At 35.5% G+C, this 27597-nt stretch overlaps 1 protein-coding gene across 21 annotated transcripts in view; it reads right to left on the bottom strand.

Moving 5' to 3' along the window:
- The window catches only part of MYO3A (myosin IIIA), a 278304-nt gene extending 251112 nt beyond the window's left edge, over nucleotides 1-27192 (bottom strand). For 13 of the 21 annotated variants that reach the window (XR_930494.1, NM_017433.5, XM_011519503.2 and 10 more), the window contains exons 1-4: nucleotides 27093-27192; nucleotides 25591-25677; nucleotides 9143-9327; nucleotides 6413-6547 (exon numbers count right to left, since the gene is read on the bottom strand). Coding sequence is in view for 20 of the 21 variants with exons in the window: in NM_017433.5 (NP_059129.3) it covers nucleotides 6413-6547; nucleotides 9143-9310 (303 nt within the window). In the remaining variant the exon portion in view is untranslated. Of the gene's footprint in view, nucleotides 1-6412; nucleotides 6548-9142; nucleotides 9328-21274; nucleotides 21332-25590; nucleotides 25678-26305; nucleotides 26711-26894 lie in introns of those variants that run through there. The other 8 variants (XM_047425355.1, XM_047425360.1, XM_047425357.1 and 5 more) reach the window with 5 other exon arrangements.

Raw genomic sequence — 27597 nt, 5'->3', positions numbered from 1 at the left:
ATCCAACTCATTTTAATCAATCTGCTCTCTCAAAAAACATTTAACTAATATCAGGAGTTTCCAACTGTCTCCTAATTCCAGGTGAGAAATGCCAAGATATTAGAATAGGGATTTAATAGGCATAATAACAATGAATGATCTCATTCAATATTTTTAAGCCCTGGGAAAAGATTTACACCTTATTTTGTTGGCCATTTAGGCCAATATTAGACAGAATACCTGAATCTCCACTTAAATGCACATCTGCCAATGATTCTATACATGGAAGAAAAATTAAAAATTCATTATCGAAAATGTTTTGAAGGATATAAACAAAAATTATATTCAAGATTACATCAAGGATTATGTACAGCAGTACTTCTCAAATATGCAAACACAAACAAGAATTAAACTCTAAAATTATCCATTAATGTAAGGCAAAATGGTTTAGGTTCATAATTTATATTCTATTATTTGGTAACTAAGCTTAGATGAGTAAAAGTTTAGCTTTGCTTTTATATGTGATTTTGCTAAAAATACAAACCTATCTCAAACTAGAGAAATAAAAAATGCAGTTGACCCTTAAACAACAAGGGTTTGAACTCTGTGGGTCCACTTACATGTTAATTTTCTTCCACCTGTGCCAACCCTGAGACAGCAAGACCATCCTCTAATTTTCTTCAACCTGTGCCACTCCTGAGACAGCAAGATCATCCTCTCCTTTTCTTCCTCCTCCTCAGACTATTCAATGTGAAGATGATGAGGACAAAGACCTTTATGATGATCCACTTCCACTTAATGAACAGTAAAAATATTTGCTCTTCCTCATGATTTTCTTAATAACATTTTCTTTTCTATAGCTTATTTTATTGTAAGAATACAGTATATAATACATATGACATAAAAATATGCATTAATTGACTGTTTATGTTATCAGTAAGGCTTCTGGTCAACAGTAGACTATTAGTAGTTAAGTTTTAGGGGAGTCAAAATTTACACTTCGATTTTTCAGTGCATGGGAGATTGTCATCCCTAACAATTAAAAGTTAGGGTCAACTGTAATATTGAAATCATAGATAAATTGTCTATTTTTAAAGAACATACATGGCTATTTAATTTTGTAAAATAATATACAGCATCAGATGATGAAAGATTTTTGAAAATACTATTATACATTTTGAAAGGCTCCAGAGCATAAAGTTGGCAAATGAAATATATAAATTTATTTCCTCTTACTCATGAATCTCCATTAAAACACTAGTAAAGGAATAAACAATTATAACCACAAAGAAAAAGAGGACAGAAAAAAGGAGAACACTGAGCAAAAAAATTCAATAAATTTTGCAATATGGAAAGCAGATAAGCAAGCAGTAACTGATTTAGCAGTGCAGAGGAAGCCACAAACTAAGATCCTTTGTGTGGTTCTTTTGCGGTCACCTGAACAGATTAACCCAGATAGTGCTAGGGAATAGTAGAGGTGGAGAAGCAGTTGAGGGGAGCAGGGCAAAAAGCAAGGGGTCATTTGGAAGTCTTTAATCAAAAGACTCGAAACCCTCTTATCACATATGCAAAATATCAACATTCAGAAGCCTGCCTGAGCAGTACACACACAGACACACACACACACACACACACACACCCAGGTTAAGAGACTGGAAATTTTGTTCCCTGCTGACACTGAACTGGAGGGATTCAAGATTTGGTGACATCAGCAAAATGGGTAATCTGGGAGAGGCACAAATTACTACATGATGAGCCAAACAGAGAAAGAAACTTGAAAAGAGGAGGCCAAGGGATCCAGGAACCAGTGGTTCCATCAAGGTGGGCAGCAGAGAGATATCAAAGAGGTCAGACACATGGTAGGTCTCCAAACAAGACTGGGCAGATGAAGCGCTCCAAAAGTGTAATGAACAATATTGCCAAAATTAAGAACATGGATTACTAAATGAGGCAGTGTAGAAGCTCAGCCATTCTTCTAGGTATAGCAATCACAACAAATCAAAAGTGTGGACTGCTCAGGAGAAGGTGGCACCACTAAACTGGGTCTATGTTTTTATTGCTTTATCTCATCAACCCTTTGAAACTATGTTTTTTATTACTCAAGTGAATGTATTTACTTTGAAAAACATAACAATGATTAAAACTATCTGAAGTTACATTAAGTAAGAATATAGGATAATTTCATAAGTAATGTTGTCAACAAATTTAAACATACAAAAAACATACACTCCTATTCAACATAGTATTGGAAGTCCTAGCCAGAGTAATCAGGCAAGAGAAAGAAATAAAGGGCATCCAAATAGGAAGACAGGAAGGCAAACAATCCCTGTTTGCAGACGACATGATTCTATATCTAGAAAATTCCATGGTCTTGGCCCCAAAACTCCTTAAGCTGATAAACAACTTCAGCAAGATCTCAAGATACAAAATCTACGTACAAAAATCACTAGCATTCCTATACACCAAAAACAGTCAAACTGAGAGCCAGATAAAAAACAATCCCACTTAAAATTGCCACAAAATGAATAAAATACCTAGGAATACAGCTAACCAGGGAGGTGAAAGCCAGATAAAAACAATCCCATTTAAAATTGCCACAAAATGAATAAAATACCTAGGAATACAGCTAACCAGGGAGGTGAAAGATCTCCACAATGAAAACTGCAAAACATTGCTCAAAGAAATCATATGACAAACAAATGGAAAAACATTCCATGCTCATGGATAGGAAGAATCAATGTCATTTAAATGGCCATACTTCCCCAAAGCAATTTATAGATTCAATGCTATTCTTATCAAACTACCAATGACATTCTTCACAGAACTAGAAAAAAACTATTTTAAAATTCATGTGGAACCAAAAAGGAACCTGAATAGCCAAGGCAATCCTAAGCAAAAAAACAAAGCTGGAGGCATTACACTACCCAACTTCAAACTATACTACAGGGCTACAGTAAACAAAACAGCATGGTACTGTTTCAAAAACAGATACATGGACCAATGGAACAGAACAGAGAGCCCAGAAATAAGTCTACACACTTAAAACTATCTGAACTTTGACAAAGCTGACAAAAACAACCAATGGGGAAAGGATTCCCTATTCAATAAATGGTGCTGGGATAACTGGCTAACCATATGCAGAAGATTGAAACTGAATCCCTTCCTTACACTATATACAAATATCAACTCAAGATAGATTAAAGACTTAACTGTAAAACCCAAAACTATAAAAACCTTGCAAGACAATCTAGGCAATACCATCCATTCTGGACATAGGAACCAGCAAAGATTTCATGATGAAGACTCCAAAAGCAATACCAACAAAAGCAAAACTTGACCAATGAAATCTTATTAAACTAAAGAGCTTCTGTATAGCAAAAGAAACCATCAACAGAGTAAAGAGACAGCCTACAGAATAGGAGAAAATGTTTACAAACGATGCATCTGACAAAGGTCTAATATCCAGCATCTGTAAGGAACTTATATTTAGAAGGAAAAAACAAACAACCTCATTAAAAGTGGGCAAAGAAAATGAACAGATACTTTTCAAAAGAAGATATACATGTAGCCAATAGCATATGAAAAAAGCTCAACATCACTGATCATTAGAGATATGAAAATCAAAACACAATGAGATACCGTCTCACACCAGTCAGAATAGCTATTTTTAAAAAGTCAAAAAATAACAGATATTGGTGAGGTTTCAGAGAAAAGAGAATGCTTATATGCTGCTGGTGAGATTGTAAATTAGTTTAGCCATTGTGGAAAACAGTGTGATGATTCCTCAAAGAACTAAAAACAGAACTACCATGAAACCCAGCTATCTATTGCATTACTGGGTATATACCCAAAGGAATAGAAATTGTTCTACCACAAAGACACAGACACATGTATGTTCATTGCAACACTATTCACAATAGCAAAAACATGAAATCAACCTACATGCCTGTATTAGTCCATTTTCACACTGCTGATAAAGACATACACGAGACTGGACAATTTACAAAAGAAAGGTTTAAAGGACTTATGGTTCCACACGGCTGGGGAGGCCTCACAATCATGGTGGAAGGCAATGGGGAGCAAGTCACATCTTACATGGATGTCAGCAGGCAAGGAGAGAGCTTATGCAGGGAAATTTTCCCCTTATAAAACCATCAGATCTCATCAGACTTATTCACTATCATGAGAATACCATAGGAAAGACCTGCCCCCACGATTCAGTTACTTCCCACTGGGTCCCTTCCACAACACATGGGAATTCAAGATGAGGTTTGGGTGGGGACACAGCCAAACCTTATCAATGCACATCAATGGCAGACTGAATAAAGAAAATGTGGTACATATACATTGTGAAATACTATGCAGCCATAAAAAAGACTGAGATCATGTCCTTTGCAGGAACATGATTGGAGCCAGAGGCTATTATCCTTAGCAAACTAATGCAGGAAGAGAAAATCAAATGTCACATGTTCTCACCTATAAGTGGAGCTAAATTATGAGAACACATGGACACATAGAGAGGGACAACAGATACCTGATGGTAGAGGGTGGGAAGATGGTGAGGATCAGGAAAAATAACTAATGGGAACTAGGCTTAACACCTTGGTGATGAAATAATCTGTACAACAAACCCTGTGACACAAGTTTACCTATATAACAAACCTGCAAATGTACTCCTGTACTTAAAATTTTTTAAAAGGAAAAAAAGAAAAAAACATACAAAAATGAAGCAAATATGTTAAATATTAAGAATTTTTTAATAGGATCAAATATTTTCTACAATGATCATCTATTATTTGTAGAATCATTTAAAAACCATAATGGAGACCAGGCACTTTAGGAGGTCGAGATAGGTGGATCACTTGAGATCAGGAGTTTGAGACCAGACTGGCCAACACAGTGAAACACTGTCTCTACTAAAAATACAAAAAAAAAAAAAAAAAAAATTTAGCTGGGCATGGTGGCATGTGACTGTAATCCCAGCTACTTGTGAGGCTGAGGCTCGAGAATCACTTGAACTCAGGAGGCTGTTGCAGTGAGCTGAGATTGTGCCACTGCACTCCAGCCTGGGCAACAAAGCAAGACTCCATTTCAAAAAAAAAAAAACCATAATAGAAAAATATGAATATAAAGTCTTAATATAATTTATATATGATTATTGTGCCTATTACACTTTGGCTGTGTCCCCTCCAAAATTCATGTGTTGAAACTTAATGGTGAAAGTGATATTGTTAAGAGGTGGGACCTTTAAGAGGTAATTAGGCCATGAAGGCATCTTCCTCATGAATGCGGTTTTAAGATCCTTATTAAAAAGACGCTCCACACAGTGTTGGGCTCTCTTGCCTTCTGCCTTCTGCCATGTGAGAACACAGCGTTTCTTCTCTCCAGAGCATGTAGCAACAAGGTGCCATCTTGGAAGTGAACAGGCCTCACCAGACAAGTGAACCTGCTGGTTCCTGGATCTTGGACTTCCAGCCTCCAAAACTGTGAGGAATAAGTTTCTATTCTGTATGAATTACCTAGTGTGTGGATTTTTGTTATAGCAGCACAAACAGACTAAGACAATGCCACTTCAGGAAAAGCAATGAAACATTCAAAAAGAAATAAAATACTCAAATGCTAATAAAACAATGATGAACACAATAAATATATGCTGTTATAGCTGTCAAATAAAGGTATCTACTGTCTCTGAATTTGATAAAAGCAATTTAAAAAATTCTAATAGATTTTATTAGAAATAATGTTTACCACACTTGAATAATGTTCAATGAAAATCAGAAAAATGGAATTATTCTGGGACTGACAGTCACCTTAGTGCAGGAGCTGCTAGTACTCCTGCCTTAGAGAGGATTGCTTAAGTGTAAGAAAAACTACTCTCAGGATTGGAAAGGGCAGACACTACAGCTTTCCTTTAGCAACTTACTCAGTATCGACACCATTTTAAGTAAGTTTTCTTCCCTGTAAATATAAATATCTGGTTCTGTAGCTCAAGTCATTAGCATTCAATAAAGACAGAAAAAGAAAATCATAGCTCACTATTTTTGTCTAATGAAGCCTCAACTTAACATTAATTTTTTCTTATATCCTAGCACCTGGCACAGAGGCTTATCACATGTTAATGAAACAAAATACAGATGAATAAATAAATATAATGAAATCCCTTTTAATTTTTCTGTGGGAAAAATAATCTCAGTTTATTTGGTCTTTTATTGTGGAGTCATTTCTTTTTAATATTTACTAGTCTTTGTGGCTTTCCTTCAATTTTTTGATGTTTCTTAAGAAGGCAAGGCCAAAACTAGGCACAACATTCATGGCTGGTCAGGAACTTATCAGAACTGTTTTTATGATATCAATGTTACATAAATAGTATAACAAGTCATTTCAGAACCACACTCTAAGTTTCCACCCATACAAATGATGCTGACACACTTACCTCAAGAACCAACCACAGCTTGTCTCCATTTACTTTATCCTTCTTAAAGTATATCCCATAGAATCTGACCACATTAGGGTGGTCAGAAAGTGCTTTTAAGATGTTATATTCTGCTTCAATCTCTTCGTCAATATCCTAGTTTCAAAAAGTCATAAGAATAGAACTGTGAGAAAACCATGAGTAATGTCAAAGAAACAGATTATAGAATACCAAATACAGAATTTCATTATGTCAAGGTCATAATAGTTTTTACTGTGCTTAGTATTATGTATTGTAATTTCTCATTACATAATTTAAGGGGAGAGATTGTGATTTTCATGCTAATCAAGTGAATCTCAAGTTATATTAATTTCATCAAATTTTAAAATGGATAAATAAAATGTTATTTTTATTTGCAATTATAAGTAAACATCTATGGAGAGCTACTCCAGATGATTTTGCTTTTTTGTATTATTAACTTTGTTACAAGGGCAAAGCCATTGACCTGAAATAATAAATTTTAGGACTGGAAATCTGGTTCATTTTGTTTCTTTGGAAAATAGGATATTTAGAAGCTATCCAAAAATCAGTCATACAAACAATAAATTCCCACTTTTCCAAAAAACTCAAATAGAGTTAAGTTATAAAAGATTGCACAAAACCTTTAGTGATCTAAAGGTCCATTCACCAAAAGAAGAACAGGTTGCTATCTTATCAATCAGAATGAAAGACAGCCACTTAGACATATTTCTAGAAAATCGCATATATATGAAACAATTCATACAGCAATAAATAAGAGAAAGCCTTATTAATACTGCTTTTACAGTGACATTTAATGCCTATGTTGTTTTATTATAGAATCATGGAATCATAGAGGTAGAAATTTAAATCTGAGCTCTAATTTTAAAGGCATAAAGTTAAGCCCTGAGAAGTTGAAGTCAGAGCTGGTTACTGTAAAATCCAGATATAGACTCCGAGCCTGCTACCTTCTCATCTTACTCATTCAACTCCTCTCTTGAAAAGAAAATGACTGATTAAAAATATGTAAGAGTAAGACTCCTTTAATTTAAAATAAGCAAATCTTTGCAAGATGTTTGGATGCATTTAAATTTATTTAAGATTATAATCTCTTGGTTATAAATCTTTTTTATTTGACTTGTGACATGATGAAGAGTAAATAAATAATTCTTAGAAAAATGTATATGTACTGTGACAAGAATGAAAGCAAAAGGATAAATTAAGCTTAATAGTCATGAAATCAATATTTCATTAAATTATACTAAATAGGGGGGACTTATAAGGCTTGTAGGTATACCATATGTGAGTAAATTATGAAAGAATAGTCGTTACATGGATTATAAGCCATTTGTTCTCCATTAAGAAGGAAGAGAAAGAGATACACTATGGGGCCAGACAATGGGATTGGGCTGAATTTCTTTCTCTTGCTGCCACACACCTGAATCCCTAATGCAAAGGCTACAGGAAAGAGAGGTATAGTCACTTTGGTAGAACTTAACTTGTACCTCTGTTCCTTCAGTTTAAATGCTTAGAAGTTTCCAAGAGAATGTGAAGACATTCAGCAACAGTTAAGCCTGGGCATACTGAGTCTCATTTTTTTTCCTCCAGTGTATTTATTTAATTTATTGCTTTAAAATAAACCTCCCCTACCTTTCTCCTCTGCTCAAAATAATATGGAAGAGTGTAGTTATAATGGGTTTAGCAGAAATAAACTATCAAAAAATAAAAATAAAAAAAGAAACAGCAACCCTAAGACGAACAAATGGAGACTCAGAGACCTTTTGCAGCATCTCACAGTTAGTAGATGAGTGTAACAAGGACCTAGCACTCTGATGTCCTCTCTATACACATTACATCATTTTCATCATGCCATGCTCCCATCATGTGTGCAAGAGTCTGTTAATTGGAGCAGTTGCTTTCAATAGATGTTTGGGGAGCATCTGATTACTGAGCTCATTCTGGCTCTCCCATGTGCTATGGGAGAGAAAGGTGTCTCCCAGCAACCTGAAGATATTCTGAAACTGCCAGCTCTCATTACCAGAAGATAGAATCTCAGTAGTCTCATGCTCTTAACAACAGAGAAAAGGTTTGGCAGTTTCGCTTATCACAACTGCTACTTAAAAAAAAAAAAAAAAGCAAATGGGGCCCCCATTGTGGCCTCCTGTAAGCAGAGACTAGCAGAGCTGAACATGAAATTTAATTCTTCACAATAAGGAACTTTGCCCTGATTATAAATCCACACCATGTCTGCTTTGGAAACATTTAAGCAAACCTGAAAATTAATTTTCTTTCTCTGAAATAAATTTCATTTTAAAAAGTCTTCTTTAGTTTGGCCTAAGAGAAATACCTCCTGAAGCCTAAATAAACACAGGACGAAAAGAAGATATGGTTAAGATGCCATTTCAGGATTACTTCTAGACCCCTGAGTTTGTATCTTTACAATTTTTCATGTCTAAAATAACATTCAGTCAACTTTAATAATATCGTCGGTTGAGAGCTGCATTTTTGCGTGCTTATGCATTTATTCATCAAGTACTTATTGTGCCTTATTACATATACTAAGCACAGAAATTTGGAAAAGCAAATAAGTAGACTTCTCTTTTACATTTATCTTCAAATTGTAACCTGTTTTAGACTGCTATTGTGATGAATAAATCAAGATAAAATACAGTCTTTTTAAGTGTTTCATACAGATAAAAATAAAGCTAATTAGAAGGAAAAAATATGACTTACGTGAATTGGATCAAGAATTTTGACTGCTGCTTTTTGGCCATTTTTCTTATTCAATACTTTAAAAACTTTCCCATAAGTTCCTTTGCCAATTGTCTCAGTGATTTCCCATGTATCAGAAGGATCAGGAAAGTTATCAAAGATGATTGTTTTTCCAATTAATGGAAACATCTCAAAGGTTTAAAAACCTGGAGATAAGAAGTACAGTTTCATCTACAGTTGATTGAGGATATCAAATGGCACACACAAACCCATGGGAAATTAGCGAATATTTTCACTGATATGATAGAAAATATTCAACAGCAACCAAACATATTTCAGAGTCACAGGAAATTTGAATTTCAATTCTCATTTGCAAACATTAATATGAATTTAATAATGCTTTGTAAGCAGGGCTTTATTTCTATGTCCAATCTAGTCTCTTATTAATTGCTGTTAATTCTTTTTAGATTAAAATAAGAGGCATATTTATATAATTTTGATTTTCTTCTTTATACTCATGTATCACAACAAATCAAATAATTTTAGAATGAACCTTAGAGAAGATAAAATTCAACTTCCTCATTTAAGCAGATCTTGCATTTTATAAGTGATCACGTTTTATGTCACTTCTCTATGCAAAACTCAATAATGGGTCCTCTAACATGGCTTTTAGGATGGAATTTCCTTAACATAACCTACCAAATTCTTTAAAATATGGCCTTTGCTTAATGTTCCAGCCTCTTCTCTCATATACTATGATTCAGCTATTTATACCTCAAGGCATTTCTTTCTTGAGGACTTTAATATACACTATTCCTGACCCCCTCTGCCTGTGGCTTCTTTGCTAAATTGCAAAACCTACTAATCTTTCAGACCTCAGCTTAGAGACCACTTCATACAAGTGTGACTACTCTCCACCCCATCTGGGTTGCATGCACCACCTCGGTACTCCAGCAGCACTCTACGCTGCTGTTATCTGACATCATTACTGTATGTGCAGCAACTGCACAGGGCTGAAATGATTGACTGATTAATTAATTAAAGAATATGGCCAATGAGACCATTTATTGATATCATTATCAATATTATCAATAATATCACTATCCTATATCACCACTGGTACCGTTATTGTGATTATAAATCAGATAGCATTTATGTATCTGATATCATTACTGTATGTCCAATACCTGGCACACTGCTGAAATAATTAATTGATTTGTCAATTAATTAAAAGAATAGGTCAGTGAGATCAAGTGACTTTATAAAGGACATTTTATGTTTTCTTCCAAGTAATGCTCTTTTCTATATTCTCCCTATATTATATCATTTCTATAAAACTACAAAAAAGGGTGAGAATAATAAAAGAAAGGAAAGTGTTCTTAGCACTTCTGGTAGCCCTCACATTATTTCAATTATCTATACAAACCACACTCTTTTCAATATAAATTAATATTCCATATTAGCCCATGAAATTCACTTGTCTGGCCACACTCACAACTTTCACCTTTATTCACATCACCAATCCACTGATCTTTAACTTTCTTTAAGCCCATCAGCCCTCTTAATTTTTCACTCCCTACTCATTTCTCCTTCCTCAGGATAGACTCTAAGCCTTGTATTATTGTGACGTCTTTACAAAGGCCCTAAACACTCTTGTTCCTCCCTTTTTCCATCATATTCTCCTGGAGGGTGAAAACAACTCTGGTTAAATACTACATCTTCTTCACATCTGTGCCCATAACTGAGAAAACCATACAACCATGTTGACTAGTTTCACTTAAAATTCAGGATAACACATTGACAAGTAAACTCTCAACTCTGCCCAGCAACCCTACTGCACTTCTGTTGTTTGTATATTCCCTGTTCTCTGGAATTACTATTTCAAAGTGATATCTTTCCTCAAATTTGTCTCTCTACAAATTGTTCCCTCTTTGCTGTTTACCTTCTCCTACCAAATTTTACAAGTGATGCCTGTACTTCATAATTTATTGAAAAAAATGGAAGGAATAATAAATCCTTAATATTCTGACCTCAAAAGCTACAAACCAATGTGCATCAAACATAGTAAGTTCATTGCTAGCCGGGGTAACTGCTGTTTGTCCTCAAATAGCCTTTTCCTTTGGTTCCTTCTTGTCCTGTAGATCTCAGTTCAAATGTCAATTTCTTAGAAAGGCCCTCCCTGACCAACCTTTATGAAGTTAGCCTTCTCCACTTATCCTGTTATTCTTTCATTAGAATGTAAGCTACATGAGGGTATGGGCTTTGTTATTTTATGACTGTATCCACAATTCCGAAAACAATGCCTAGTACATGGTAGGCAATCAATAAATATTGACTAAATGGGCAAATGTTTATTTGTTCATTGTTAATTCTGACAGCAGAGACCTAATCTATTTTGTTCACTTCCAAATCTAATAATAGATTTGGCCTTACTCTGTACCTAGAAAATACGGTAAATGTTAAATATATAGCTGTTGAATAAATAAATGAATAGGGTTCTTCGAAAAATACTTTTTTTAAGTTAGGAAGCGAAATAAGGTTTAGGGAGAACTGAAAAGAACGTGAAAATCCAAAACACAATAAAGAGCATATTCTGATTCATTATACTTACGGGCACATTATCGAGTAAATGGCTATGAATACATGCTAAAAATTGTATTACTATATAAAAACACACTTCTGAATAGTTCTTAGAACACTTAATCCTTATGAAATTCATGTCTTTGATCCAAAATGCAAAGAGGTAATCAGTAATAATCATCCTCTTTAACAATTTCATAATCAGTGACAAAATCACTACTTCTTACATCTACTTGAGTCATGCAAATAAGCATTTATGCCATCTCTATAACATAAACGTTAGACCAAAAAACCAAATTAAATCTTGTTAAAGGTCTGAAATAGGAGTTGTCAACCAACAGAAACATTCATTACATGGAATACTGCCTTTCAAGCAGTAATGTTACTGAACACAGTCTTCATTTCTGATATATTAACTCTCAGGAGTTAACTGTTAGTTTTTCAATACACAGACATAAGAATTCAATGAAAAATTGACTGAACAACAAATATGTGCAAAGTATTTTTATGAGTTTTGGAAATACAAAGATAGAAAACTCATGGATAGATTAATAAACATGTAACTATAACATATTATAAAAAGTGATAAATAATAAGAATATGCATAAAGTGCTGTAATAGCCCAGGTGAAAAGCAGTTTATTCTGAACTGACCAGGAAAAGATTCAGAAAAAATTCTGAAGTGGTCAGGAAAAGATTTGAGCTGACACTAAAAATAAGCAGGAATTTGTTTAAAATGCAATTTTTTCTTTAACAGTTCTCAATCAGACAAATATTTAAAGCAGTGTATCAATATAGTGTAAAACATTATTTAAAAAAGTCACAAAATGACAAAAAAGAGGCATTTTGGAAACAGAATACACCTAGTCATGTTCCATATAAAGCAAATGAACAAAACTCCCAACACATAGGTAAAATGAAGCCATTTAAAATGACTGCTTCAAAATAATACATTAAATAATTTCAAGAATTAGGCTAGAATCAAGTCTCTTGACTGCTAAACTACACTTTTTCCATACAAAGCTGTTTATTCTTTAAGAATGAAATAGAATGTCACAGCTAGTAAACAACTAATTACTTAATAACTATGGTAAATTGCATTTGACATAAAAATGAATGTTCATATATTTTCCCTAATACTTTAGCATGCAAAGAATGAAAAGTAATTCTCTAGCCTATAAAATTAAAACATATAAATAAGTTCTTAGTTATATGATCATGTAAGCCAAATAATTATTTTCAACATATATATTTAACATAATTTGATATGTGCATTTACCATAATTCTGAAAAGGTACTAGCAAAGCTACATTTTTGAAATGAATACTCATCTTTTTGAATAGATTTATTATATATTGAGCTTTTGGATTTTTTTAAGATAGAAAAGTTGATCATAATACAATGAAAAACGTATCTTCAGGATCTTCAGATTCATCTCAACAATTATTCTGCTTGTTTTTGTAAACATGCACCTAATTCTTCTTTAATAAAATAACCAAACTGGCTTCATGCTCATTCTAAAACATAGCAGGGCTGGTTTCCCATTGGGTTATCTGTGTTCCCTCTGCCTAGAATGCTCTTTCTCCAGATATTGACATGGTTCACACCCTCACTTCCTTCAAGTCTTACATCAGCCATCACCTCCCCAATAAGTCCCACCCTGATCATCTTACTTACAATCCCAGTCTTACTTCCTGCATCCCATCTTGCCTCCCAACTCCTTGTCTCACTTACCCTGCTCTATTTTGATAACACTTATCACTTCCTAACACTCTACATAATTTCCTGTAATTATGTTTTGTTTTCTCCACTACCAGAATGTAAGCCCCTTGAGGCCTGAAATGTTTGTCCTGTTTTTTCACTGATGTACTTCAAAGACTTTAAAACCATGCCTGACACATAGTAGATAGTCCATAAATATTTGGTGAATATTAAATAGAAATGAATATAAAAGAGTCCATAGAAAAATTTCAAATGATTTCAACAACCCATTTTATCAAATATTTTCCAAAGAAATAATACCATCTTTGCCAGGCGCAGTGGCTCACGCCTGTAATCCCAACACTTTGGGAGGTAGAGGTGGGTGGATCACCTGAGGTCGGGAGTTCGAGACCAGCCTGACCAACATGGAGAAACCCTGTCTCTACTAAAAATACAAAATTAGCCGGGCATGGTGGTGCATCCCTGTAATCCCAGCTACTCAGCAGGCTGAGGCAGGAGAATCGCTTGAACCCGGGAGGCGGAGGTTGCAGTGAGCCAAGGTCATGCCATTGCACTCCAGCCTGGGTATCAAGAGCAAAACTCTGTCTCAAAAAAAAAAAAAAAAAAAAAGAAAAAGAAAAGAAATAATACCATCTTATGCATTTTTTTTCAGAGAATAGAGATAGACGGAACATGTGAAAGTATCTATAATAAGACAGACTGTACAAAATCAGATAAATTTATTAAACAGAACCAAATGGAAATTCTGGATATAAAAAATAAAATAACTGAATTGAAAATCTTACTAAAGGAGTTCAAGAGCAGACTTGAATAGGCAGAAGAAAATGTCAGTGAACTTGAAGACAAATTTCTTGTAATTATCATCTGAAGGGCAAAAAGAAAAAAGAACGAAGGAATATAAACAGAGCCTAAGGGATATATAGAACGCCACCAACAAGACCAATATATACATTATGAGAGTTCAAGATAGAAAAGAGAAACAGAAAGGGGAAGAGAGCTTATTTGAAGAAATAATGGCCAAAAACCTCACAAATTTAAGGAAAGACATGCATCTAGAAATCCAAGAGGCTCACTGAATTGCAAGGCAAATCTTTTTTTTTTTTTTTTTTTTTTTTTTTTTTGAGACGGAGTCTCACTCTGTCACCCAGGCCAGAGTGCAGTCGTGTGATCTTGGCTCACTGCAAGCTCCACCTCCCAGGTTCACGCCATTCTCCTGCCTCAGCCTCCCGTGTAGCGGGATTACAGGTGCCCGCTACCATGCCCGGCTAATTTTTTGTATTTTTAGTAGAGATGGGGTTTCACCGTGTTAGCCAGGATGGTCTTGATCTCCTGACCTCGTGATCCACCCGCCTCGGCCTCCCACAGTGCTGGGATTACCGGTGTGAGCCACCACAACTGGCCTGCAAGGCAAATCTAAAGAAACCCATGCCAAGACATTATAATCAAGCTGTGAAAAGACAAAGACAAAAAAAAAAAAAGGGAAACTTAAAAGCAGCAAGAGAAAAGCAATTTATCACATACAAGGGACTCTCAAGATTATCAGTGAATTTCCCAGCAGAAATCTTGCAAGCTAGAAGGCAGAGGGATAATATATTTAAAGTGCTGAAAGATAAAAACCTGTCAACTGAGAATTCTATATCTGGAAAACTATCCTTCAAAAATGAGAAAAAAAATTAATTTTTGTTCCCAGATAAACAAAAATGGATGGAGTTCATTACCACTCCATCTGCCCTACAAGAAATGCTAAATGAAGCCCTTTAGGTTGAAATGAATGGATGCTAGACAATATCTTGAAGTCTCATGAAAATGTAAAGTTCTCCAGTAAAAGTAATTACATGGAAAATTATCAAACCCAGTAGTATTGTAATTTTAGTTAATGCCACTTTTTTTATCTTGAATTTCAAACACAAATACATAAAAATACTTATAAATCTATGTTAAGTGGGGATACAATATATAAAACGTAATTTGTGACATCAATAACATAAAGTGTGGGGGCAGGGCTGTAAAGCAGTAGAATTTTTATAAGCAATCAAGTTAAGTTGGTATCAGTTTAAAATAAGTTGCTATAATTTCAGGATGTTATGTATAATCCCCATGGTAACCACAAAGAAAATAAGAATCAAAACATGTCATTACAAAATATACACTAAATACAAGGGAGATAGTATTAGAGGAAATGAGTAACAAAAACGTTATAACATCGAAAAACAACCAAAAAATGATAATGGTAAGTTCTTCTCTATTGGTCTTTTAAATGTAAATGGATTAAACTCTCCAATCAAAAAACAGATTGGCAGAATGAATTTTATAAAGGAACACATCTGATGCAACTATATACTATCTACAAAAGACTTCAAGTCATAAACTTTTACAAGAGACAAAGAAGAAAATGGGAAAATGATAAAATGGTCAATTTGCCAAGTAGACATAACAATTATACACATATATGTACCAAAATTTAGAGCTCCAAAATATATGAACAAACACTGACAGAACTAAAGGGGAAAACAGACAGCTCTACAATAATAGTAGATTTCAATATCCACAGTAATGGATAGAACAATGAGACAGAAAATCAGAAATAAAGGACACGATCAACACTATAGACCAATTGGATCTAACAGACATATACAGAATGCTGCACCCAACAGTGACAGAATACACATTTTTCTCAAGTGCACAGGAATATTCTTCAGGATAGACTATGTGTTTGACTGCATTACAAGCCTTAATGAATTTAAAGGGACTGAAAACATGCTATGCTAAATATCCTTTATGATCAAAATGTAATGAAACTAGAAGACTGGAAAATCCACAAATATGTAGAAATTAAGCAGTACACTATTAAACAACCAATAGAAGAAATTACAAGAGAAAACTGAAAATATCTTGAATCAAATGAAAATAAAAATACAACATAGCAAAACTTACAGAATCCAGCAAAAGTACTGCTAAGAGATAAATTTGTTGCTCTAAAAGCTTAAATTTAAAAAGGAAGAAAAATATGAAATCAATGACGTAACTTTACACTTTAAGGAACAAGAATAAGAGGAGCAAACTGAACCTAAAGGTGACAAAAAAAGTAGGAAATAATGAAGATGCAGCAGAGATAAATAAAATAGAGAATAAAAATGTAGAGAAAATCAACAAAACCATGAGTTGATTCTTCGAAACCTTTAAAACCTTTAAGCAGATTTACTAGGAGAGAGGACATAAATAACTAAAGCAAGAAATCAAAGAGGGAAAATTATTACCAATTACAGAGAATTAAAAATGATTATAAGAGAGTACTGTTAACATTTGTATGCCAACAAATTGGATAAACTAGATGAAGTGGACAAATTCCTAGAAACACACAATTCACCAAGACTGAATCATGATGAAGTAGAAAATCTGAAGAGGTATCACTTACAAAAGAGATTGAATTAGTAATCAAAAACTTCTCTACCACAATAACAACAAAATCTCAGGACCAGATCACTTCACTGGTGAATTCTACCAAACATTTAAAGAATAATTAACGACAATCCTTCTCAAACTCTTCCAAAAATATTAAAAAGAGGGCACACTTCCTAACTCATACTATGAGGCCAGCATTATCCTGACACCAAAACCAGACAATGGCACTACAAGAGAATAAAACTGGAGATGAATATCTCTGTGAAGATTCATGCAAAAATCCTCAACAAAATACAGGCAAACTAACTTCAACAGCATATTAAAAGGATCATACACCATGACCAATGGTGATTTATTTCTGGAATACAAAAATGATTCAACATATGAAAATCAATCAATGTAATATGCCATATTAACAGAAGAAAGGGGAAAAAACACATGATCATTTAAGTTGATGCAGCAAAAGCATTTGACAAAATTCAACACCCTTTCAAAATAAAAACACTCAACAAACTAAGAATAGAAAAAAACGACCTTGACATAATAACCATTTATAAAAAGCCTGTAGCTAACATTATATTCAATGGTGCAAGACTAAAAGCTTCTTTCCTAAGATCAGGAACAAGACAAAAATGTCCACTTTTACCATTTCTATTCAACATAGTACTGGAAATCCCAGTCAGAGCAATCAGGCAAGAAACATAAATAAAAGCATTCAGACTGGAAAGAAAGAATTGAAATTATCTCTGTTCACAGACTATTTGATCTTATATGTACCAAATCCTAAAGAATCACACACACACACACACACACACACACACACACACAAATGTTAGAACTAATTAATGAATTCAGCAAAGCTGCAGGATACAAAATCAACATGCAAAAATCTGTTGTTTTTCTGTACACTAACAATGAACAACCAGAAGAAGAAATTAGGAAAACAATTTAATCTACAATAGAATCAAAAAGAATAAAATACTTAGAAATAAACTTAACCAAGGAGATGAAAGACTTGTGTATTGAAAAGTACAAACATTGCTGAAAGAAATTAAAGAACACACAAATAAATGGAAAGATATCTGTGTTCATGGATTAGAAGATTTAATATTGGTTAAATGTCAATATTTCCCAAAGTGATCTATAAATTCAATGCAATTGTTAGCAAAATCCCAATGTTTTTTGCAGAAATAGAAATAAATACATCCTAAAACTCATATGGAATCTCAAAGGATCTCCAGTAATCTTGTAAAGAAGAACAAAGTTGGAGGTTTTATACTTCCTGATTTCAAAACTTACTACAATGCTACAGTAATCAAATCATTGTGGTACTGGTACACATAGACAAATAGAGTGAAATAGCCCAGAAATATAGTCAAATGATTTCCAACAATAGGGAAAAAACAGTCTTGTTAACAAGTGGTGGTGGAAAAACTGGATATCCACATGCAAAAGAACATTACTGTTAGATCATATATAAAAATTAACTCAAAATAGATCAAAGACTTAAACATATGAGCTAAAATAATAAAACACTTAGAAGAAAACATAAGGGAAAAGCTTCATGAAAATGGATTTGGCAATGATTTCTCGGATATGACACCAAAAGCACAAGCAGAAGAGAAAAAATACATAAATTGGACTTGGTAAGAACCAAAACTTTTGGATATCAAGGAATGTACAAAACATTAACAACAGAGTGAAAAGACAATCTTCACAATGAGAAAAAACACTTGCAAATCATATATCTGATAAAGGGTTAACATACAGAATATATAAATAACTCTACAACTAAAAAAAAAAAAACCCAATTAAAAAATGAGCAAAGGATTTGACTAGAAGTTTCTCCAAATAATATATACAAATGGTCAATGAGCATATGAAATGATGTACAACATCCTAATAATTAGGAAAATGCAAATCAAAAAGTCACAATGCAATACCACTTCATGCTCATTAGAAGTTATTATTTAGAAAGAAGAAACCCAGAAAGCGATTTCAGTGTTGTTAATGTTGTAGAGAAATTGGAACTCTTGCGCATTGCTAGCAGGAATATATTGCAGCTGCTGAGGAAAATAGTACAGCAGTTCTTCACAAAAGTAAATATAGACTTACCATAGGATAAAAATTTCATCTCTTGAATATAAGCCAAAGAATTCAATCAAAGGCTCAAAGAGATATTTGTACACCCACATTAATGGCAGTATTATTCACAATAGCCAAAGACAGAAACAACCTACATGTCCACTGACAGATGGATAACAAAATGCTGTATACACCTACAGATTATTAATTGGCTGGACGCGGTGGTTCATGCCTGTAATCCCAGCACTTTTGGAGGCTGAGGCAGGCAGATCACTTGAGGTCGGGAGTTCAAGACCGGCCTGGCCAACATGGTGAAACCCCATCTCTAACAAAAATATAAAAATCAGCCAGGTGTGATGGCATATGCCTGTAGTCCCAGGTACTTGGGAGGCTGAGGCAGAGGCATCACTTGAACCCAGGAGGCAGAGATTGCAGTGATCTGAACTCATGCCACTGCATTACAGCCTGTGCGACAGAGAGAGACTCCATCTAAAAAAAAAAAAAAGAAAAAAGAAAGTAAGAAAGAAAAGAAAAGAAAAGAAATATTATTCAGCCTTAAAAAGAAAGGAAACTTGACACATACTACAACATGTATGAGAGGGATGAGCCGAGAAGACGTTATGTTGAGAAAAATAAGCCAGTCGCAAAGGGAAACATTATATGATTCCACTCATATGAGATGTTTAAAATAGTCAAATTCAAAGACAAAAAGTAGAATTGTGGTTGCTAGCAGCTGGGGTAAGAGAGAACAGGAATTTTGTTGAATCCAGAGTTTCAGTTTGGGAAAATAAAAAATTTCTGGAGATGGATGGTGTTAAAGGTTGGGCAACAATGTGACTGTACTTAATACCACTCAACTGCACATTTAAAAATAGTTTAAAGGGTAAATTTTATGTAATTTATGTTTTACCACAGCAATATAATTACCCAGAATGTAATACAGGGGGTCAAAATAATAGAAAAATGTGAAAAACAAGTTAAAAGATAGGGAGAGGAGAATGGGATGACCAGGATGCTCTCAGATCCATGCATGATCATCCATCTCCTGAATCTCGGGGACCGACATCTCAAAACCGTATTTCCTACACTCCTTGTCCAGCTGGCTTCCTGCCCTGAGAAATTCTGCCAGTGAGTCCCAAGTAGAGAGAAAGGAGAAATCAAAATATTTTTCCTCTGCTTTCTTTGCTTTCTATGGTGATGTCTCCATCAGTTGCTGTGGCTCTCTATGGTCCCTGTCCCTGTAGGACAGAAACTGTCAGGGTTCTAGATAGCCTCGGATTCTGGGTTCTGCTAAGACTACCTCCTGCAGCCTGAGAAGTGACAACAGTCTTTTGCTACTGTTAACTTTTAAATTGCCTCACTATCCCCTATTTGGCTTTCAGATATGACAAACATTTGTCACTAATTCTCCATATTAAATTCCTTCTGTTGAACTATATGGCATTAACTGTTTTCTTGACTGATTCAGCCTAATACAAATCTAATCAGAATTTGAGAAGAAAATAAGAGAATGGAGAAAAGGCAATCAATAATGACTGAGAAGTTTCCAAAATAGTTGAAAGGTAGAACACTCCAATTCAGGAAAATTCAAATAAGATAAATAAAAAGAAATCCACACTTATATATACCACAATGAAACTATACAGCATCATCAAAGACAGTAAGAAGTTCTTAAAGTCAACCAGATAGAAAAGAGTTATTACATACAGAGGAAAATAATTGGAATGATTGCTGGTTTTTCAAAAGAAGACAGTAGCATAATATATTCAAAACACTGAAAGAAAATAATTGTTAATCTGAAATTAACAAAAGTACCCATAAAAGTATCTTTCAAGATGAAAGGCAAAATGAAGGTATTTTTCAGAAAAAAAGTTTAACACCACTGACCCCTGAGAAAGAGCACTTCTAAAGGATATGTTTCAAGAATGACAATGATCCCGCAAGAAAGGTCTAAATTACCAAAAACAGCAAAGAAACTGTATGTTATATAATTGTAGGATACAATAATGGGCTCTGTTGGACAAGATTGAACAGTAATAATCAAAAGTGGAAATGTGATAGGATTTAAAATGTTCTACGTTCCTCATATAGTTCAGGAAGCAGTTAGAAATAACTTTAGACTTTAAAAGAAAAATATACATGTCAAATACTTGTAACAGCAGAATCTCAGATTACCATGTATAGTCTCCAAAATATTAGCAGAAAAAAAAAACCTGACTTTACAAAAGTCATTCAATTAAAAAATTCAAGAAAGGAGAATAAAGGAAACATAGAAAAAGCAGTAGAAATAGACAGCATGAAATAACAAGTGGAAATCATTATAATATACCAGTAACCACAATAATTATAACTGGACTACACTCACCAGTGAAAAGACAGAAATTGGTAACTACAGGCTGTTTGAAAGACATCCACCTAAAACCTAAACAGAGAGAAAAGAATGGAAGTACAATAATGGTACCATGTAATCCTCAATAAAAGAAAGTGATGTGGCTAGCTCAATATCAGGCAAAATATATTTTAAAGCAAAAATATTTATTAGAGGCATGATGGCCACTACATAGTAATCAAAAACTTAATTCATCAAGAAAATACAAAAACTCAAAACAGAACCCCAAAACATGTCAAATAAAGGCTGAAAGAAATAAAGAAATAAATTCACAATTTTAATGGGAGATTTTAACATACCTTCTCAGTAATTTTTTGATTAACTAAACAAAAAAATGTTTGTAAGGATAAATAAAATTTGAACAACATAATTAACAAGGAGAATTTAATGGATATGCCAGAATACATATGAAATCCTACATACAAAAAAGAATAGATACACTCTCTGAGCACGTATGATTGCAATGCAATTAAGTAAGAAATTAACTACTGCAAGCTACATTGTTAAAAAAAAACAACTATACAATTGCATACCTTAAAAAGGCACTAAACAATTTAAAAGTCAAAGAGTAAACATAATGAACATTTTAAAATAGACTTAGAACTGAATAATAATGAAAAATTTACTCAACAAAATGTATGACCAGCAACTAAAGTAGTGCACAGAGGAAAATATATAGCCTCAAATTTTACATTAGAAAGGAAGAAAAGCTAAAATTATATAAAACCAATGACAGTAGAAAAAGAGAAGGGTATAAATTAAAGAAAAACATTACAGGAAAAAAAGATTAGGGGATTCATAAATGTAATAGTTCTTTAAAGATAATTTTTTTTAAATAGGGAGATCCTTGTCAAGATTGATCAAGAAAAAACTAGCAAGAAAGAAGGTAGAGATGTGCAACATTAAGGATGAAAAGACTAACAAATTAGAGCAGAGACTAAAAAGATAATTTTATATTAATAAATCTAAAACCAGATTAGATGGACAATTTCCTAGAAATATTACAGAAGGAAAAATAGAAAGAAAAAAGCTATTTTTCTTGAAATGACTGCATTCATGTGCCTTCATATTTTAACTCCAAACACTTAATTCTTTACTCATATAACCTCTAAGGAGAGTACATAAGTTAAACAAAAAAATCATTCTCTCCAAGTTCTGTATCTCATAATACTTCATATGTAATGACCAAATCTATTGGTGAAAGAGGCTAGAAACCCACCTTAGTAATAACTGCTTCATAAGTGAACACGGGCATGTTTTCTTTTCTAATATAATGCAAATATCAATAAATTTAATCATTAACTTTCCAAAATACATGCAGAAAGCAGGACTTTTTAATGAAAATATAAATTGCCTCATTGATATAGAACATGCTAAGAAGACAGCAGATGGCTTTACTCAAAACCAAGCAATATTTTAATATCATGAGTCTCACTTTTATACACATTCATCATGTATATTCTGTAGAATACTATTCACAGATCCTTCCCTTTATGGACCCACTTCTGTCAAGCTGCTTACACTGCATCACATAAGGATTACATCAGATTCAAAAGAAGTTGCTGCCTATGATGGAAGAAACACACTGGAGTTTCAGCTGGTCAGCTATAGAATTTTGTCTCTCTCCACAGAGTAGCCAGGATGATCTCAGCATAGAAATCAGATCATCTTATTTTCCTGCTAAAAACCCCACAAAATCCACATTCTTTACCAAGTTCTCCAGACCCTGAATGATCTGGCCATTTCTGACTTTCCTGTGTTCTCACCACTCTCAGTGACTTCAGCCTCAATTGCCTTCCGACGGGACTTACAACATTGTTAAACCCTTTTCTGCCCCAGGACCTGTTGTCTTTGCCTAGATGCTTTCCCCAAGCCTCTATCAGACTGGTTTGAACGTCTCTCATACACAGTCACATATCAGCAGGACCATACACAGTTACTACACCCGTAAATGCAATATGCCTGATTTTAATTTATTCTATAGATTATTCTCCTGGAATGACTATGAAAATAATAAAACAAAGCCCTCCTGGTTCAAAGAAACCTACAAAAAATTAAATTTGCCCTGTAAAACACTAGTCTGAATCGCCAAACAAGTTTCGGGTGTCTCCTTTCTTACAGAACATTAAAACAGAGGAATGGGTCTAGCTTAACTGGTCACAGAAATCTGGTCTAGCTTAATTACAGACCACATGAACTGGACACACATTCTTTCCAGCTTTCCAATAACAGTATAGTTTAAAACAGACCTTGTCCAGTTACATGTATGCTCTGTTTTGAATGAGCCATAACCAATGTTTTATTCCCTTCAATTTGCTTAAAAATGTTTTGCAAAGAGGAAATACAAAATCTACTTAAATACTTTTGTATTTGTATTCCGTTCTCCACCATTCATTTTCTCCCTTTATGAGGATAAAAGTACTTCTTAAAATAAATGCTAGAACCAAAAGAAAGACTATAATTTCCTTTAAAAAAAATCTCCATCTTTAAAAGGTGGTGTTAGTGAGCCTCCAAAAAACTTTAAGTCACCAGATCATTACTTTAAGTTTTAGTATAAACCTAAAAGTCAATGTCCACAGCTGTAAAATGGGATAATAATGCATGTCTGAACAAATTCTCAGAGTTGATATAAGCATCACCTGAGTTTTATGAGGAACTGTTTCGTAAATTGCAATACAGGATTATTCTCCTTTTCAAAGGATGACAGTTAAGCTATTGTGTGAGCCATATAATTAACCGTTCAAGTTAGTAAGGGATATTTCCAGAGTCTGAAATCACAAACTCAAATGTCTGCAGGAGTGAGGGAGGTAAAATATATGAGTGAAGCAGGACTTGATGAAATAAAGGCAGAGGATGGCAGCAATGTGGCAAAGTGGAGAATGTATACCCCACCCAAAGTGGGCAACTCATCCTGGCTTCTGCCATGAGCAGTTGCAAGAGCTGTCTTGCCTGGTCCTCCATTTTTTTCAGGAGAAGCCAGGACTCCAGGAACTTACACAAAATTTACTAATTTGAAAATACCGGTAAGTAAATCAATTATTTTAAAGTACTGAGCTGACCCAAAGAAACATTTCTAAAGGCCAATTTCAGGCTTGAAACTATCGCATACGACTTCTATATGAGGTTCTGCATTTTTTATCAAGACATGATCTATAACTATAAACATATCGACATTGTCTAATCACCCTCAGATATCAGGAAAAATGGATATTAACAGTGGCTATTTTTTTTAACTGCTTACCATATTCCAGGTACCTACTGTGCTTAAAGTTTTACATGCAGTATGTCACTTAATTATCAGGAGAAGCCCTTTAGAAAAGCATTACTGTAACCCATATTTTCATAAAAGAAAACTGAAGATTAGAAAGTTTTTAAGGTCATAATGTTTAAGTTCATGGTAGAAATTACGTGTCCAATGATAGATGATTTTAGTTCAAAAGAGTAATGCTTCCCAACTTGAGGTTCCTAACTCCCAATGTGTCGCCAAAGTAGTAAGGGATCGTCTGTGTATCAATTTGAAAGCTTATCAGAAATCTTCTATTTACCCTCTAATGAATAACTGAATTTGTTTCCTATTACTAGGGGGAGGGAGTTTGTTTGTTAGGTACAATCATTCAAATTATCAATTCCCGGACAAAACTAATGAAAGGATCCTTGTTTATAAAAAGAAAAAGAAAACGCAGCTGGAAATAACACTGCAAAAATTATTTACATAATAAACATTTTACAAACTTTATATGATTTATATAAAAGAACTATACATTCTAAAGGGTATTTCAGCCTCCAAATATTTATTTATCAAAACCACTTGTAGCAAATAATGGACCTTCAAATATTTTGGATTTGACAGAGAAAGTTATTTTTCAAAGAATATATGCAAAAAAAAAATTAGGCTATAAAGATGCAGTCGAAAAAGGACAAGATGATGCTATCAAATTATGTGACATGACCAAATTTTAATATATGTATATATACACATATATATTAAGTTGATATTAAAGATTACAAAATTGAATCTTTTAGTTTGCATTTTCGTCCCCAAATAATAATTTTAAAGGACTAAGACAAATGAATGTAATTTTTCACATGCTAGACATCTCATCAATATATTCATAAAGCCCATGTTATCTTTGAAAGCTTATGCATCTGTAAATTTTCCCATTTTAAAATAATTATCTTTTATAATGTAATAAAAATCAATATGGCACGAATAACATGCACCCAATTTATCTGTCAAAACTTGGCACTTAGGTTCTGGCAAACCCAGAACACTTGTCAATTTTATCACCTACCGTTAGCAAAGCTTGAAAATAACGCATAACAATGCTCAGACGCCAAAACTTTGAATACTGTGTCCAGGCTGCACTGGGGCCCTGGGCCTGTAACCCAAAACAAAAAGATCATGGCTTTATGGGAGTAAACATTCAGGATCTGGGGAAAATAATCAGAAGTTGAACTTAGAAACTTCTAGGTAGAAGGGCAAGACAAATAGTTTATTCCTCAGTAACTAAGTTTTCGCACTTTTACACAATGAACAAGGAACTTAAAGCCCCTCATTTCATATGCTGGCATTAAACAACTCTCAAGCTACCAGATCCGTCTGAATTATAAAAATGCTTAAGAAGGTTTAAGTGCACCTGTACAATTAGTTAATTCACCAAGAAAACTAGAAACAACCAGAAATGAAGATTCTTTTGAGTTTTCAAAAACGCTTAGTGTGTAGGGTTCAGTGGCATTACAACAGTCATTTCAAGGCTTATGGCCAATTTCCATTCTAACAATAATAAAATTTTTTTTCTGGAAGGGGGATAGTAGCAAGGTGCGAGTTAGCAACTACTTGGAGAACAGAACAGAGCTGTTGGTGAGCAGACTTGAAAGGACATCCTTTCCTGGTAGGTTTCTCTATTTCTCAATAATGATCATACTTTTCTTGTCTGCTCTTTCTCCTTAAAATTAAAACTCCTTTACGGATGCATTTGGGGTTGCAGGGAGCCCAGCTCCACCGACCTGCTTGTTCTGAGAAATCACCCGGAACGCAGTTCCCTCAGGGACGGGCCGACCCAGCGCCACCTGTGGGCGGCGCCGCAAAGCCCGCGCGCGCCACAGGTCTCCGAGGCGACACCCGCCAGACTCGGCGCCTCCTCCCTCCAGTCTCCCTGCAGGGCCCCCTCAGTTCTCGCCCCTCGTTACTCTTCGAGGTCCTCCCCTTACGTTTCCTTCCCAAGTTCACCCCTAAAGATCTTCCTTCACCCCTTACGCCACCCTTCCCGTTCCCTCCTCCTGTTTCCACTTCACGTTCACCCCTCCCGTTCCCTCCTCAAGTTCATTCCTCACGTTCCCTCCTCGAGATCCCCCCTCACTATCCCCTCGCGTTCCCTCCTCGGGTTCACCCACAAGATCTTCCCTCAAGTCCACCCCTCAGGTTCACCCTTCCCGTTCCCTCCTCCTGGCTCCCCCTCGAGTTCACCCCCGCCCCCGTTTCCCCCTCAAGTTCATCCCTCTCCTCCCCTCGAGCTCTCCCATCCAGCTCGTTCAAGCCTCACATTCCCCCTCTTGGTTTCCCGCTCTACTTCTCCCCTCGAGTCCCCTCTCTCACCCCAGGCCCCGACAAACACACAGGTCCTCCGGATCTGACCTGGGCGGGCGGGCGGTCGCGGCAGCCTCGCGCTCAGAGAGCCCCGGGCCCGCCCTGCAAGCCCCGGGGTCCAAGGAAGCGGGGCCGTTTCCAGCGCCGCGCGGGCGCCGCTACCCACCGCCGCCCCAAGCCAGTCCCCTGCGCTGTCCCGACACGTACCTGGGCGGGAAGCCGGGCGCCTCCTTATTTCTTTACGGGGGCGCTGGCTACGGGCGCTCCCTCGAGGGGCGGGCAGGGGCAGCCGAGCAGGGGAAGAACTGGGCCGCCTGTAGAGGGCGGGCCGAAGGTCGGCGGGAGGATCTGACCTGGGTCAACCGAGCCGAAGGGGCCCCTTATCCCGGCTCGCGGGGAATATTCTTCCTCTCGCCGCTCTCTCCACTGCCCGCAGGTGGAGGCCGCGCCATCCGCGCCATCCACATCCTCGCAGGGCCCTTGGCTGGCTGCCGAGGGGCTTCCCGGGACTCCGGCCGCGCTTCCTTGGCCCGGAGCCCGGCGAGAAGGGAGTGGGGCCCCTGGATCCTGGAGCCCTCATGGACTGGCCCAGTGCCTGGAGCAAATTCTGCTCCCGGCCCCGCGTAGTATCTTCCTCCCAGGAAATTCCCCACACTACGAGGGTCTCGGACCCGGAAAATGTAATGGGTTTCAGGTCCAAGAGGGATAGTGA

The sequence above is a fragment of the Homo sapiens genome, chromosome 10 (genome assembly GCF_000001405.40).
Source record: "Homo sapiens chromosome 10, GRCh38.p14 Primary Assembly".
Classification (NCBI taxonomy): domain Eukaryota; kingdom Metazoa; phylum Chordata; class Mammalia; order Primates; family Hominidae; genus Homo; species Homo sapiens.
Note: the sequence above shows the minus strand (reverse complement) of the source record. Positions and strands in the feature narration are given on the sequence as shown.